Below are 17,399 nucleotides of genomic sequence, written 5' to 3'. Positions count from 1 at the left end.
TTACATTTTACTTTTAGGTCTGTGATCTGTTTGGAGTTAATTTGTATAAAAGGGTATAAGCTCTGTGGCTAGATTTAGTTTTTTGCACATGGATGTCAAGTTGTTCCAGCACCATTTGTTGGAAAGACTATCTTTGCTCCATTTTATTGCCTTCGCACCTTTGTTAAAGATTAGTTGACTATATTTATGTGGGTCTATTTCTGAACTCTGTTCTGTTCCACTAATCTATTTGTTTGTTCTTTTGCCAAGACCAGACTGTCCTGATTATTACTGTAGCTTTATAGTAATTCCTGGAGTCAGGTAATGTCATTTCTTCAACATTGTTCTTCTTCAATATTATATTAACTATTCTAGGTCTTTAGCCTCTCTCCACATAAACATTAGAATTAATTTGTCAATATTACAAAATAACTTGCTAGAATCCCATGAGTTGTGAAGTATTGTCATTCAATCCTATTCATTTTTATATATTTCATTATAACTTTTTCTGAGAGTTCTATGTTAAACCACTATACTAAATTACCAGTTCTAATTTCATTGTGTTATATTTATAGCGTGTAGTCTGTTTGATACTAATTTTTTGTGGCTTTGCTATATGGGGTAGTTCAAGGGTAATTTTTGTAAATGCTTTGTATGTGTTTGAAAAGAATGTATGTTATCTAGCTGGGCACGGTGGCTCATCCCTGTAATCCCAGCTCTGGGAGGCTGAGGTGAGCAGATCACTTTGAGCTCAGGAGTTCGAGGCCAGCTTGGTCAACATGGTGAAACCCCATCTCTACAAAAAAAATACAAAAGCTAGCCGGGTGTTGGTGGCTCATGCCTGTAGTCCCAGCTATTCAGGAGGCTGAGGTGCTTCAGCCTGGGAAGCGGAGATTGCAGTGAGTCGAGATCATGCCACCGGACTCCAATCTGGGTGACAGAGTAAGATCCTGTCTCAAAAAAAAAAAAAAAAAGTATGTTGTCTTCTTATTGTATACATCCTTGTATATTTGCCTAATAGATAAAGCTTTCACTTACTTTTCTTAAAATTTCTGCGACCTTACTGATTTTTGCTTGGCCAGTCTCCCATCAGAGATTTGTTTGAAATCTCTGATTCTAATGATGGTTCTGTCACTTTCTCCTTGTGTTTCTAAAAATTTTGACTTCATAACGTTTTGAACTATGCTAAGTAGGTGTACTCATTTAGAATTTTTAAAATTACTCCTAGAAAATTGACTCTGTCTCATTGCTTAGTGATCCTCCTTGTAATGCATCTTACCTAAATGCCTGTTAGTCTGACTTTAACATACATCCTCCAGCTACTTAGTTTCTTTCAGCGTGATGAGGATATTATTTCACTTCACTCTAAATGTAGTCGTTAAAAAATTATAAGCAGGAGAGTTACATGATCAAGAGTTCTGCAAAGATGACATGGGCTTCTATATAGAAAATGGATTAGAAAATTGCAAACAACTGGAGTAGGGAGGCTGTTGTGGGGCAGCATGAGATGGTGTTGGCTTGGCTTGGAGTGTTAACACCTGACATAGAGATAAAGGGAAGTTCATCATGTTTCTGAGGTAGAACTGAGAGATACTGATGATTGTTGTTGAGGGTGATCTGAAAGAGAGAGTGTGAGGATGATGAAACTTCAATTTCTATCTTGAGCAACCGGTTCCTTGGAATGATCATTTGTCAACTTCGAGGTGCTCCAGAGGGGCGTGCTCCTAAATCCATTTTTGTATCTGTTTCACTTATTTATTTTTCAAGAGTGTATTGAGAGTTGCTGTGAAGAACAACTTTCATACTTGTTGCTTTAGAGAGGATTAAAATAAGGTTTATAATGTATGGGCCAGCTGTGGGGGGAAAAAAAAAACCCCAAAACAAAAACACTTTCTGTCATGGCCCATTCATTAATTCCTCAACATTTTTTTTAATGACTTATTATGTGCCAGGCACATGCCAGTTTCTGAGCTTCCAACCATGAATACGGTGGGTGTAATGTGTGCCTGCATGGGGTTTACTAGTAAATGCAGACCGGCAGAAAGGCACTTCTCCATACAGTGTGGGAAAGCTTTGATTGGAAGTATGTGGTTCTGTGACTGCACATAGCGGGATCGCCCAACCTAAATTTGGTTGGGGTTGGGGTTCTATTGTGAAGATTTTTCAGTGCAAAGGAAACTTAAGCTAAAAGAGACAGACCTACAGATGATTAGAGGTAAGCCAAAGGAGGGTTAGGAGTGGTGGAGAAAGAACATAGGCCAGGAGGAGGTACGGCACAGTTGAAGAACTGAGGAAAGACTGATTGGATTTGAGAGTAAAGTGCTCAGAGAAATATACCTGTTGAAGGGAAGAGGAGCCCAAAGTATAATGAGACTTATAACCTAAGAAGGTGTGTTTGTGAGGAGCTTTCGGAAAGAAATGGAGATGATGAGATTTGCATTTTAAGGAACTCTGAGTGCATATAAAAAGCACTGGATCGAGAAATAAAGTAGGACAAGAGAATTAAGGGGCTGATGGTGATGGTGTCTTTAGCTGTGCCTAAGCTTGGCTGTAGACATGGAAAAAAATGAGTAGATTTGGAGCATGTTTAGGAGGCAGATAAAATGAAGATTTCATTATTGAGTGTATGCGGGGTTGAACATAAGAAGGAAGTAAGAAATTATACCAAGAAAATCAGGTGTGGAAAATGAGATCTTTTTAAGCCTGTAACAAAACAAAATTACAACACATATAGTTTAAAGATCTAACTGGATTTTATTTGTAATTATAGAATTGGACAATACCTCATTCTATACAGTAGAACGAGTGTTCTCGAGCTGAGCAGAGATTGGCCTTATAGGCAGAAAAGAGCTGAAAAAAGCAGAAGCACAACAAAAAAAGTTACTTTTGAATTACATACTCAATATTTAGTTAGATTTTTAGATGAACATACATCTTTTACTAATGGAATAATAGTTTTTAAAAATAGGAACGTACAGTGATAAAGCTACAATAAAAGTTGCTCTTGAGTTTTAAGATTCCCTTTTACTGATTTATTGAGGATTAATAAATTTACGAGCTAACTGCTAATGTAGAACTTTCTACCTGATCCTCTGGAAAATTAAGAAACCTGTACTGTGCTCTTAAAAAGAGTTTATCTACTAAACAAACAGCAAATAATAGTGTTGCATTTAAATCTGTTTGATGTTAATCCCTGGTTCTTTATCATCACTTTTCATTTGCAGTTATTTGTCAACTAGGTTTCATTGTCAAATAATTTTAAGAAAATATCACAAATTCTTCTTTCCCTGAGAAATTTTATATTTGAGTATATTAAACAGCTACTTTTCTACTCTAAGTTCCAATTGACTTAATAAAGTAATCGGATCACACTTTTTCTCAGAATTTTAGTGTCAAAGTAATCCTTTTGCCATAGCGTCTCTGTTAATGACTCATTTGACTGGATTTTATTATTAAAGAGTTTATTTTATGAAGGTCTTGTGGATGCTGCATTTCCTGACTTCTTGCATCTTTAAATATATTTTCTTTTATAGTCAAAAGGTATTTGGCCTTGTGAAATTCTTGAGTTGCACTTAGAAATCTGTAGACGATGCTCCTTTGTCTTCTGGCATTGAGTGTTCCTAATGGAAGGGTGAGACCAGTTTGACTTCTTTGTTCCCCCACATAAGTGAATTGCTCTTTTCTGCCTGAACACCTGCAGAATTCTTTTTTTTTTGTCTTGAAGTTCAGTGACTTAAGGATATAACTTTTTTTGGATCATTCTGTAACAATTTTTCCTGGAACACTGTCTGTTATTTCAATCTGTTCTTCGTGTTAGGGAAAGTTTATACTATTTTTACTTGAAATATTTTTCTATCCAATTTTTGGGTTCTTCAGGATCAGCAATTTTCAGGCTCTCTTTGTTCTTTGTGCCTCTTATCTTTTCTCCATTAAAAAAGAATATTTGTCTTCCTCCTCTGTATTCTTTGGAATTAAGCCTTTCTTCTACATTATTAATTCAATTTTTAGTCATATTCCTTTATTTTTAGTCATGTCTCTTCCTTTCCATGCTGTTTTTATTGTGTTTACGAGTACTGAGTTGATAAATTTTTGGTCTCCGGTATGTTTTATTGGCTTGGTGACATCTTTCTGTTGTCTTATCATTTCATCTTTGAGCTCCCATTCGTTGATAATCACTTTTTGGAAGTCCTGTAACATGAAGCCTTCTGCTTTTAAGCTGTGTAAATGTTAGGAGTGAGTGCTTTTTCCTCCTTTGCATGCTTGTTTTCTTCCTTCTCTTTCTTTCATTTCTTCTTTCTTTACTTCCTTTTTGTCCTGTGCTATGTTTACCTGTTTTCCCTATGACTTTGTTTTACCTTGTCTTGCTGGGCAGATGTTCTATGTCTTGTGTTGGTTAATCTTTCTTTCTGCCTTTTCATACTATAGTTGAGACCTATCCATTTTCTCTAGGGAGCTACACTTTGAGAATTGGTTATTATATCTTCCGTTTTGCTGTAATTCAAGGTGAAGAGTGGAATGGGACTTATTCTGGAAAAGGGCTGGGCTGGATTCTGTGCAAGTATGTCAAAATGTCCTTGCCCTCTCTGTCTGTTTTGGTGATGTATGGACAATGATGCCTTTTCAAAGAGCCACTCAGATACTGAACTTAGTATAAAGGCATGCAGACTATTTCTGTACCTTTGAGCAGAATGGCAGGAAGCTACCGCTAAGGGAGATTGGTGGCATTTTGTTTCACACTGTGGCTTTCCTTTTTATTGGTAAGAGCCCTATTGCACAGATTTTTATTTATTAAAGACCTTAAGATTTCTCCACAGGGTAATTATTTTAAATAACTAAGAGTACTTTGGTGCCCACAGGTGCATCTGCAGTGTTAAATAACAAAGTTATTTTATGCATTTCCTGGGGCAAAACATATTCAGAAAGCTAAATGGGTTTTACATTTCTGCTTTTTGTATATTGCTGTTGCACCATTTCCTTTTGCCAATATAGAAACAACTTACTACAAATTGCTTATCATTTAAAATTATCCCCTCATTAGGCTTTCTGATTTCTGTCATTCTTGGTGTTTCAGTTTAAAATGATGAAGTGTTTATACGATAGATACATATGCTGCATGAAACCATCATGCCCAGTACCTTGTAGAAACGTGTTCTTTATTGTATTTTTCTCATGGCAGGGGATGATCCTTTTTTGGTACTGATATAAATCCAGCTCTCACACGGGCAAAACACACACAACCTTGAGTGTGCTTCTGGTGATTCATTAAGTCTTTAGAGTGCAGAAGGGCAGTAGTGGGTCACGCTGGGGCAAGATTTCAGCCAGGAGTCTGTCACCTCGTATCGATCTGCCGGTTATTTGTTTCATTTATGTTTGAAGTTGCTCCACTGTAGCTGTGATTACTGTGAATTCCATCTGAGGCATACTAGATGATAAAAATAAACTGAAATTTGTGGTTTATAAGAAACCCAGAATCAACCTTCACATCCAGCTTATGACATTTATGTTTAAATGCAATTGGTGTTATACTCAATATTACTGAGATGTCTCATAAGGAAATTATTCATAATATGTATTAAAGATGGGCTATATGTGCCTGAGGAACCACCACGCTGTTATAAACTATTATTCAATTGTATTGATAATTTTATTAATTGAATTAGTTATAGGGAGTCGAACTTTGAAGATTGTTTTAAAGACGTTCTTTAATGGAACACTTACAGTGAAAATGTATTAGGATAATGGGGAAAGTTTCAGGTGTTGATGTTTGTTATTGTCAGTGTTTCTTTATTCTGCTGAATCAAAACTCATAATGTTAGCCTTTAAATTCTTCGTCTGTGGTTTAAATCTTTTAACATGTTGCTGTGATTTTACATACTCGTGTATATTATGTTTTTTCCTCCCTTTACTCAAAGCATTTCAGAATTTTAAGGTTGTCTTTAGCATTTGTTACAGGTTGGCATTTCTTTTCCTGAGCATCATTTCATATCATTTGGTTTGATTTAATGAACACTTAATGATTCGGTAGCACCCAAAGTCTGATTTGATGAGTGTAATTGTACAGCTGGTTAATTTGTGAGTAGAAAACAATACTATTTAAAGCCCTTACCTTATGAGTCATCTGATCAATTCACTTAAAAAAATCTGTTAGCTTTCTTGATAAATGAAATGGGGTCTTGCTGTGTTGCCCAGGGTGGTCTTGAACTTCTGGTCACAAATGATCCTTCTGCCTTAGCCTCCCAAAGTGGTAGTATTACAGTCAGGAGCCATTGTGCCGAGCCTGTTAGCTCTGTTTATTCATAGTTCATATCACCATTGTGAATGTAGTATTTTCATTGACGTCAGTAGTTTTACATAAGGTCTCTTGATGGTGATGAAACTAGTCACTATTAAGATGGAGTTTCCTTGTTTGGAGCCTCAGGAGAAATACCCACCATGCTTTTTTAAAATCAGGGGCCTCCATAGTATCAACTTTATAGTTGATGGTTTAGTACCTTTTCCTGTCTTAAAAAAGATACTGTCATGGAGGTGGACTTAAACTGGAAAAGAGTGATATAGCCGAAATAAATTATATATACATTTCATTGTTGCCTAAGAACAGGGATCATTTGTTCTGTCTCTTACAGTGTATTACTGTGCCTGCATTAGAGGCTGGCAGTATGTCAGGAGCTCTGTCTGGGGTTTGGTTATGTAGTCTATTTTGTGAAGGAAGTTAATGTTTTTGGATTGCATTATGATTGTCGCCCAAACCATTATCCTCATTATAAAAATCCTTAAATGTGTTTGCAATTGCTTATTAAAAGTCTCTGGCAAGAAGAGTTTAATTTATAATTCCTAACTTCTTGACTCCTTGTTTGATTGCATTTTTTTGGCGGAACCATGTTTATCAATATGTATTTTTAAAATTAGCACAGTTTTTTGTCCCTTGCCAGGTTCGAGTAACTTTCTCATTTTTGGGTGCTTACAATATTTTAACACTTAAAAATCCATAAAAATTTAACTTTGAAAACTACTGACAACTTTTCTGTTTTTCAAAGATGCCTTCTCTCAGTCAATGTTAACATTTTTTTTTCTTTGCAGCTGATGCAATTTTGTTTAAAAACATTCCCCACCCTTCTGCTGCTTTGAGCCCTTGATTTAACCCATTAAAAATGGGTACTTTTGAAGCATCTGCACTGAAAAATGCTTTCCAAAGAAAACATTTGTTAGAACACACAAACGATTTATTTGGGTACATTGAAGAACCTAAACATTTGATTCAGCTGCCAGTATGTGCTTTGCTGGCTAATGTTTCTTCAGCATTTCCACATTTTCATAGGCTAGCGGCCAAGTTGTCCGACAGTCTGGTACCTCTTGGGGGTGGAAGTGGGTGTGTATATGTGGAGCTGGTAGCACTAGCATGCTCCTGTATGTCGCCAGTTGGCATATGGTAGAACTGGCAGAAGCTGGCCCCGCCAACCTGGAAGCATATAGATACTAACAAGCTTCTTCAGCCTGCCCAAAATGGCTCGAGGAAGCTCACTCAGATCCTCTGTGACACTGATCCCAGGAAGTCAGAACTCTTAGAGCAGTTTTCTCAGCTATGTCGGATCTGAGGTAATCAAGACAGTACATCTGAACTGGAGTATGCCATCATTGCACTAAGACATATTGTGATTAAAAAAAAAAAAACCAGCACCAGTTCTTGTACAATGCTTTATGATTTATAAAGTGCCTTGCTATGTGTCTTGTCATTAGGTTAATAATAAATAAAAAACTTAAGTAGATTATAGTATCTCCATTTTTAGAGATAAGAAATTGGTCACACAAGGAGGAAGTGTTGGTGCTATGGTTTAAATCCTCCATCTTATCAGATTCTACCCTCTGTGTTTTCTCACTCTGCCACACTGGAAATAAAGCATGAACTGTGCAAGATGGATTGACCTAGTTTGATACAAAATTGCACCAGCTATATATCAAATTAAGGACCTATAACTCTGCTTGTACCACTGGCATGAGGAGGTGAAACAACAAGCATTTGTTGAACCTAACTAAGCACTGTGGGATTTGTCAGGTTTTGGTTAGATGAAGTCTAAAATTATAAGGAGGTCTCTATGTTAAGAACAAAAGATAGGTAGGTCAAGAGGCTTGTTTGTATATATCTAACAGGTAAACATAAAACATTTTCTCTCTCTCTGTACTGCATTAAGAGGAAGGTTTGATGGTAGCCCTATGAAGAAGATTTTGAGAATGGCCTTGGCCTATTGTTAAGTGAGAGCTGTGAAAGTACTACTTCTTCCATGTATGTCTTGAATACTTATTGTAGTTGTGCATGGTGCCAAGCAGTATCCCAGGGACTGGGGAGACAGAGGTAAGTGTTATATAGGGCTCATCCCTGAGGAGTTCTTAATCTAGTGGAAAATCTGAACATGGTAAGAGGAAATGACTCTTTTACCATGGCAGAAGTAGAGGAATCTTTGCAGACCCACACTTGAATGAGGGCTTGAAGGATGTTAAGGAGTTCTGTCACTAAAGAAGGAGTTTATCCTTTCCAAGGTAAGCTCATTGTAGGCATGTCCTAAAGTGAAGAAGGAAAGAAGTGTAAAAAATCCCAGTGGTATACACTGTTGAAGGCAGTAGAGAATAACTTAGAAGCTTACCTGGGGCCTGTTTGCCAGCAGTCCTTTTGGATGTGGGATAAATGGTAGGGGATTGTAGATAACACCCAGCCCCATGGGCTTTATAACCCCTTTCTCTACTTTTATATAGTCACATGTTCACTTCACTTCAGGCAGTATAAACTTTGATTATCCAGTCATTGCCTAGGATTGGCTGCTTTAGAACCTCCAAAAAGGTAGCTTTTGTATTCTGGCCCGTCAGTAATTATGGATTCATATTTCTTGGATATTCTTCCCTCCTGATGCAGCACCCACCCAGCATGCTCTTGGATTAGTATTCCTCCCACTCCAATATAGTAGAAGAATTTTCGAATAATTGCTATAGGTTTTTTTTTTTTTTTTAAAGTATGGGGTAAGGGAGAGAGATGTGAGATGAGGAGGCAATATAAACTTTCTTAGACACTTTATGGGAAATCCAAACGGAGGTTATGATAGGGAATAGAGATCCAGAACTCAGGGGAGAGGTGGGAGCTGGAGATGGATGATCTGTGCAGAGCTGGAAGTACAGCTGTGAGCATGACTTGGACTTCAGGGATCAACGTGTCGAGGGAGAAGAGAAGTGGACTTGGATGTGGTTTTTTAAGTTCCTGATGATGATAGTAATAGACAAATCATGTGTTAGGGACTCTAGAAAATAAAAGACGAATAAATTATCTTTCCTCGTGGAGTTTGCAAAAATATTCTTTACATTTCTACTGTGTCTTATGTTTTCAAAAGCATCATCTTTTAGAAAACTTTCTTAAGTGGTCAGTGTCATTGAAACCATTGAATAAGTCAAAGTCCCAAGATGAGAGTATTCATTTTGCAGTTTGCTGACAAGCATAGATGACGACGAAAGATACACAGATTCTCTTCTTCGGTGGCTTGAAATAAAGCTATTATCAAATAATGATTTGCCTTGAGAATATTAGGTAAAATAGAAGCATATGGAAATATAGTGAAATATCATGCATAGAATCATAATTATCCAGAAATCATAGCTGTCTGAGACCCCACCAGTGACTACAAATTACACAAGTAAGGCCTCTGAGAAGACAAATAGATGTCATAAGGTATTTATGCTTCACTTACAAGAGAGCATGTTGTGTGCTTATATTTCTATTTTATGTTACTTCCTATGCAAATTTAGCTGACTTATTTTTCTCATTTCAAAGTCTACAACAGATGAGAAGCAGCAAATGTAAATTAAGCATCTGAGCAAAGAAAAGGACCTTGAGAGATAGTTGAAGTTCCTCATTTGACTTGGGCCCAAAGATGTTAAGTGACTTATCCAGGATCATTCAGCTAGAAATAATAACCTAAATTGACTTCACTCTAAGTTCAGTGTTCTTTCTGTTTCACCATAGGGCAGAAGGAGCATCTATAAAAAGAACATGACCATATTGAGAAGTAGTAGCCTGACAGACTCTAATATGCAGATACAAGAACTCAAGAAGCACAGCAGTTTCAGGTCACTGAGCCTCGATACACTTCAGTGGGCCCTGAAGTTATCTCAGTATGCAGCATTTCATCGTCACTGATGCTCATAATTATTAGTCTGAGTCATCAGGAAAAAGTTAACTTATGTCCCTTGCCTTCTATGTAGAAGATATTAGGATTATTTCCATCCCAAGTACTTAGTATTTTCTCTTTTAAATTTGCAATTAAAAGAGAGAACCCCTCACCCATCCAGAAAACGAAACTCGTGAGAACACAATATTCCTAAGAATGCTGTATAAGTGAGGCTTATTGATGAAGAGACAGACCTGCCTTATGACTGGATGACTGTTTTGTAAAAATGACACATGTTTGGTACCAAGAATAATACACCTTAAGGGTTGTATGGGGTTATCTATATCAGATGCCTTGCTTACAAAGGTGATGGCATGGACTCCTCCTTGGCGGAAGGATGAGAGTCTCAGCAGGAGTGGTATTTCTTTTTTAAAATCTTGACTTTGTCTTGGAGCTGGGTCCCTTAGACTCTCATTTACACATCATCCACTGTATTCTTCTGGCGTTGAATACACCATGCGTTATTTGTTTAGTGACCGTGTATTCCAGCCTTGGCAGGCTCCTTCACCTTGGCATTTCTGTGCCTCTCTGCACAGATTCAAACTCATTTTTCTCAGTTTTGGTAACTGGTGCAAACCTATTTTAATGGATCATTCTTGGTTAAACCCCTCTGATGCTCAGACTCTCCATCTTCTGTGAACTCTTTCTCATGGGCCAGGAAAACAGATTCCCAAGTCAAAGATGCATTTAATTATGGATTTGGGAAGTGTTACATTTGCATTCATAGGAAGGTATTAGAAAACAAAATTAGAGGCCTTTTTAAAGCAAAGGAACTTGTCAGAAGTGAGTATTTTTAATTGTCCTTACGCATATCCTGGAAGTCATTTTGGTTACTATTTATAAGATTTTTAGTTATAAAACTTACAGGTCAATATGCAATGCATGTCATTTTACATTTTCTTTTTCTCAGTCTGGGATATTTAAGTGGCTGAAATTAGTTATAATTTTTCTTTAACATGGACAAGTCAGTTAGCTAGAAGTCAGCTGCATGTTTTGGAATATTAACTAACATTTGACAGTGTTTCCTGAGTAAAGTGCCGGCACATTACTGGGCATATAAATTCAGTGTCATTGGGTTTCGTTGCTGGGTAGAAGACTTTAAGGTTGCTGTCTCTTGAACAGGAGAAAGGATTGTGGAAGATTGGGGGCAAATGTAAGGAATTGACTACTTTGTGTGTCAGTGAGTGAAAATTGAATTTTGGCTGAGTCTTTTTGCACATGGAGCTACAAGAGGCCACAGAGGTCAGGACTGCATTCAAGCTGTCCTCAAATGAGACTTGGCTACCCTTTTCTTACAAATCCCCAAGGAACAGAGATTTCATGACCAATGTTGGCTGCACATTTCAGGGCCTCACAATCACACTTGTTCCTAATCCTTCCTCTTTCAGATACTTTTTATTTGGCATTTTTTTCTCTAAACTTTTACTTTTTTTTCTTTTAGTTCTCTTTATCAAAACTATTCATGTTCATTATAGACTCATTAGAGAAACATCAGAAAACAGAGAGAAAAGTAAAGCTACCATAATTTTAACTGCTCTTGGAATAATGAGGTAGCTTCATATAATTTATCTGTATTTTGATTTTGATACTTAAGAATGACATGCACAAGCTTGTATTATATATTGGGCACATTTCTACATCTTTCAGAATTATCATTTGTGATTTTTATGTTTCTGTGATAACTTATTTAACCACTATCCAATTTGGGGGCAGTTAGCTTGCTTCCAAGATTTAGTAATTACAAACAGCAGGGAAATTAATACTCTTTTGCACATCCTTAATTATTACCTTAGGATAAATTCCAAGAGTTAACAATTGCTAGATTGAAAGGTACATGCATTTTTATGGCTTTTGATATTTTCTGCCAAATTGCCCTGCAGTTTACAGCCCCGCCTACTAGAGTATTAGAGTGGCCTGCTCTTAATTTAATTTACATAGCAGCTACATCAGAAGAACTTGGAAAAGAAAGCTCATTGGTATAAAATTGTCATTTCGTAGCTTGAAGAGCATGTTATAATAGGGGCTTAATAACCTCTACAGAGGTTCCAGTCATCTTATGCCTTTTGGTGAGAGTGGGAAATTTTAATATATTTATTTGCTTCTGGAAAGGGAAAGATGAAAGGTGGAAAGGGGAGCAGAAGTTTTGGAGCAGTGTGCAGTTATGTGCGTGAATGTTGTCTGCATCTGCCCTTGGGATGCTAAGTCAGCCTCCACGTTATCACTGCATGGACCACGCAGAAGGGGATGGATCGTAAACAGCCATGTAGATACAAGCGCAAGATCTTTGGCTTGGTGACAGCCAGATTCCCCACCCATCATATCTGCTTGGCCTACACATCCTATCACTGTAGAGGACTGTACAGAGGTAATTAGAGGCTGGAATCCTTGTATATATTAGTTAGGTCCGATGGAAGAATGAAGAAATGAGCCATCAAAATAAAGTGCTTTTAGAATAAAATATTTCTTATGGAGACTTGACATTAAAATATTTTGCCCCAAAGTCTTTAGTCTGAAATATGTATTATTCGTCTGAAATATGTATTATTGTCATGGGATAATGTATTTTTAATGGTGGCAGCATTGACCTATTAAAGTATAAAGTTCTCAGCACTATTTTTTTTTGCTGTTGATGGTAGCTTTGTTTGTGAAGTAGCCATGTTGAGGGCATTGGATCCTAAGGTAAAGGCTTTTGACTGTTATGGTATCTGGAGTCACACTGATCCCTCACAGATGGGTTACAAGTGTACCTGAGATGTGCATCCCTACCCCTTGGGACTGCCTGCCAAGGCCAAGCTAAACTGCTTACCCCGGTATGCAATGGAGCTGCTACCTTTTTTGCATGTTCCATAGTGTGAAAATAATTGGGAAGCACTGCTTACAGTCCTGTTTTGTCTTTGGCTTCCTTGGAATGTCATAGGCTAGGTTCATATCAACCTTAATGTGTCAGATTCTCTTTAATGTGCCTCCTGCCATTTATTCTGATCATGTTTTTTGTTTTTGAAGTAAAGACGAGGTCTCACTATGTTACCCACGCCAGTCTCGAACACTTGGGCTCAAGTGATCCTCCCACCTCAACCTCCCAAAGTGCTGGGATTTATAGGCATGAGCCACCATGTCCAGCTTCTGATACCTTTTTGAAAGAATTGGGGGGTCCAAAAAGCTTTCGGGTATACACTAAAACTAGAATGACCTTAGATTTTTTTTTTTTTTTTTTAAGTAGAGACGGAGTTTCACCATGTTAGCCAGGATGGTCTTGATCTCCTGACCTCGTGATCCACCCGCCTTGGCCTCCCGAAGTGCTGGGATTACAGGCATGAGCCACCGTGCTCGGCTGACCTAAGATTCTTATAGAGTGTTTCTGAAATTGAGCGGTGGTTTTGCTATTGTCAATGTCCAATAACCTGGAAAAAAACCTGGGTAGGCTGTTTTGAGCTTCTGTGTTCTGTGAGCTATTCTGTAAACAATGGGAGATGCAAAGATCAATGAATTGTGGGTAGGAGCCAGTAAGATGCTCACTGTTGCATGGACCTACTTATTAATATTTGTGTTTTCTTGTGGACTCTTTATGTCTCTGCATCCATGGCTGTAGTTGGTGTGGGTGTGTGAAAGTACAGGGTACCTGGGTTTTCTCTTACTAGTTATACTGTCACACATATTACTTTTCCATTGCCCACTATTTGGATGGAAGGTCATGAATGGTATAAAATTAGACATTTGTCACAATACTTCAGAAGGAATCTGTCAGTACTTTCAAGCTAGCTTCCCCATTTGTTGATTTCACTGGTAATAAATTGTAGAAACAAACGCATGAGTTGAACCTCAGAGACTGTTCTTGCTTAAGTTCCACCTCATAATCCCATAGTGCTAGGTTTTCTTCTCATCTGTTATTGAGGGGCACAATCTTTTTGCCAGTTCTTTTGGGTGTTTGCATTTCTGAACCAATCAATCAGACTTTAGCATCCAAGCTGTACATGATTTCTTATTTAAAATTAGTAGCTTGCATAAATATAAACAATGTTTTTTCAAGTAATTACATTTAGATAAATATTTCTGCTTCTCCTTGACAACTTATTTTCTATGTCAAAATATTAAGATTTTCTGAAGTTAGTATTGAAAATGAAAGATTTATCCATTGGCATTATTAGCGTCATACGAGTACTAAATTATATACGAAACTTTTCCATATAGAAAATTGGAGTTATTTTTCCGAAAACTTTTTAACTTAAAAGGTAGTTGATATAAACAGATGTTCCAAAAACATTGTTGAATGACTTGTCCTAATTGTTGGAAGTAGTAAAACCTAAAACCATTTTTTAACGTTTATATAATCCATTCTAAAATTGAAAATAAATAGAAAAGTTAAGGTTAGTTGAGGCAGAGTGCTGTGTCTCAATGCCTGCGATGGTTTTTCCCACTGGATGTTTTTCAGGGACATACAAATAATTCCGAGTGTGTGTGTGTGTGTGTGTATACTGAAGTACTATACTTCAGCATATATACGTGTGTGTGTGTGTGTGTGTGTGTGTGTGTGTGTGTATAAATGACTCTCTTATACTTTATGATTGTTAACCTGTATAGAAACTTTGATTTTTCTATCCCAATAGAACACACATATTCTTACATCTTCTGGCACAAAATGACTATGCTTTATTTAATTGTATTTTAATCTTTTATTTAATAAGTATACCAGATAGCAATTTTCTTTACTGCTAGGGGAAAAATGATTAAATGCAGAATGATATATTTGCCCATGTTGCCTGGTATTTCAAATTATTAACCAATCCCTTCTATTGGTGTTGACAAAATGCTAAAAAGTAATGTGGGGTGATAGAATTATGTTTGAATCTCTGTTACAAGTATGCTTAAGTAATATAAAATTGTGTGAGAGAATGGTCTGTTTCTTCAAAACTCTTGAGATAGCACCTTGCTACTTTTTATAATTTTATAGACTTGGCAATCGTGGTTACTTTTAGGCACTAGTGTTTTTACATATGTCTAAATATTAATTATAGTACCCCTGAAGTGAGTTAGGAAATGCATTATCGAATTGTCCATTTATTTTTAACTGCTTTTTTTGGAGACCATGGTACAGAGTATATTCTTTTTGTTTTTGAATTTTAAAAAGTAGAATTTGTGATTAAACTTGCGAAGAGATTTTTAAAATACACTTTATTTTTAGAATTTTGAATGCACAGCAAAATTGAGCAGAAAGTACAGAGAGTTCCCATCTACCCCTCATCCCTACACATACGCAACCTCCTTAAAAATTTCAGCATCCTGCACGACAGTGGTACATTTGTTACAATGGATGAACCTACGTTGACACATCATTGTGATTCGAAGTCCATAGTCTGCAATAGGGCTTACTCTTTGTGTACATTCTGTGGGTTTTGACAAGTGCATATTGATGTGTATTCACTATCATAGTCTCATAAAAATAGTTTTATTGTTCTAGAAATCTTCTATGCCCTTCCTGTTTATCTTTTCCTTCCCCTTAAGACCTGGCATCTCTTGATCATTTTACTGTGTCAGTAGTTTTGCCTTTTCCAAAATGTCATAGAGTTGAAATCATATAGGATATTACCTTTTCAGACTGGCTTTTTAAATTTATTTTTCACTCAGTAATATGCATGTAAGGTTCCTGCATGTCTTTTCATGGCTTGATAACTAATTTCTTTCTATTGCTGATTAATATTCCATTGTCTGGATGTACCACAGTTTATCCATTCACCTAATGAAGGACATTTTGATTGCTTCCAAGCCTTGGGGATTATGAATAATGCTGCTATAAAGGTTGCATGGACATAATTTCAGTTCATTTGAGTAAATTCCAAAGACAGTGACAGTGTGATCTTATGGTAAGAATATATTTAGTTTTGTAAGAAGCTAATAAACTGTCATCCAAAGTGGCTGCCCATTTTGCATTTCTACCAGAAATGAGAGTTCCTGTTGCTCCACATCCTCCCCTACATTTGCTGATGTTAGTGTTTTGGATTTTGGCCATTCTAATAGTTGTGTAATGGCATCTCGTTGTTTTAATTTGCAATTCCCTAATGATGTATGGTGTTGAACATCTTTTCATATGCTAACTTGCCATCTTTGTCTTGTTTGGTAAGGTGTCTGTTGCCCTAAAGTCTCATTATAACACACACTCCTTAAGTTTTATTAAATTTAGGTAAGATTGCAGATTTTACTGTACACATGTCAGGAGCCCCCTGTGACTTGGTCCCCCTGGAGTTTTTAACTCCTAGAGTTGTCCACTCTGAGTCCCTAGCAATCCGTCAATTACAATTTGGGGTTTCCTGCCTGAATACTGGTTCTCACAGAGTTTTCTTCCCTGGTAAGTTCTGTTTCTCTGTGTCTTCCATCTTTGTCTCCAATTTCGGGACTGTATTTGCCTGTGACTTCTCTAACAGATCTGAGAAGAGTTGTTGATTTTTTCGGTTTGTTCAGCTTCTCACTTGTTAGGATGGAGTGGCTACTTCTAAGCTTCTTACATGCTAGGCAGGAAACCGGAAAGATTTTTTTAAGAAAATACCCAGAGGATATTTTTAGTTCTTCCAAAAATGCATTGTTAGTGAGAACACAGTCCTCTTCATAATAACTCTCTAGGAATTTTCTCAAAAAACATTTCCAATATTGTTATATAATCTGAGAATGTGGCTATCATGATTAAAGGCTCAAAGGAGGGCAGAATCTAATTGTTGTGATTATAAGATAGTATGTTTTATTCAAAAATCTGACAAGTGTAAATCTTTTTGTTCTTGTGTACTTTCCCCAGACAGAACCAGGAAAGATTTATTTCTCCTATGAGTAAGATCTTTAAAAGTACACTCACTGGCTACTCCCTGTAGTTAAAAAATAAATAAATAAATAAATAAAATTAAAGTATTTGGCCAATAATTTCTTTTTTAAGGATGCTAAATACTTAGCACAAGATAATAGTATAATGTGTCCATTTGTCTATTGTCAAGGAACTCCCTAGAACATAAAAAACATATCATTCTCAGATGAGTTAACAGTATAACATAGATCTCTGCATAATGAAAATATTTGCAAACGTTTTGATAGTGCAGTTCAAGCTGTATAACAGATTCAGCATATCAGTTACAAATATAACTTAGACAATACATTGTTTCAGTTTCAGCTGCATATTTTTAAGTTTTGTATTAGTTAAATTGTAACTGTAACATGAGTATATATGGGACAGTGTGT

General features: G+C 36.7%; 1 protein-coding gene across 18 annotated transcripts in view, besides 1 other annotated feature; it reads left to right on the top strand.

Annotated features, from left to right (window-relative positions):
* KLF12 (KLF transcription factor 12) overlaps positions 1-17,399 on the top strand; it is a 619,957-nt gene that overhangs the window by 328,041 nt on the left and 274,517 nt on the right. The window lies entirely within an intron of this gene.
* Positions 17,020-17,189: an enhancer, noted in NCBI's record as "experimental_33303 CRE fragment used in MPRA reporter constructs". NCBI's record gives its function as "activates a minimal promoter by MPRAs in K562 erythroleukemia cells, with activity observed for both the introgressed and non-introgressed 13:74535038 variant alleles {active_cell/tissue: K562}" and the evidence as "EXISTENCE:reporter gene assay evidence [ECO:0000049][PMID:34662402]".

This window comes from Homo sapiens, chromosome 13 (assembly GCF_000001405.40).
Source record: "Homo sapiens chromosome 13, GRCh38.p14 Primary Assembly".
In the NCBI taxonomy this organism is placed as follows: domain Eukaryota; kingdom Metazoa; phylum Chordata; class Mammalia; order Primates; family Hominidae; genus Homo; species Homo sapiens.
Note: the sequence above shows the minus strand (reverse complement) of the source record. Positions and strands in the feature narration are given on the sequence as shown.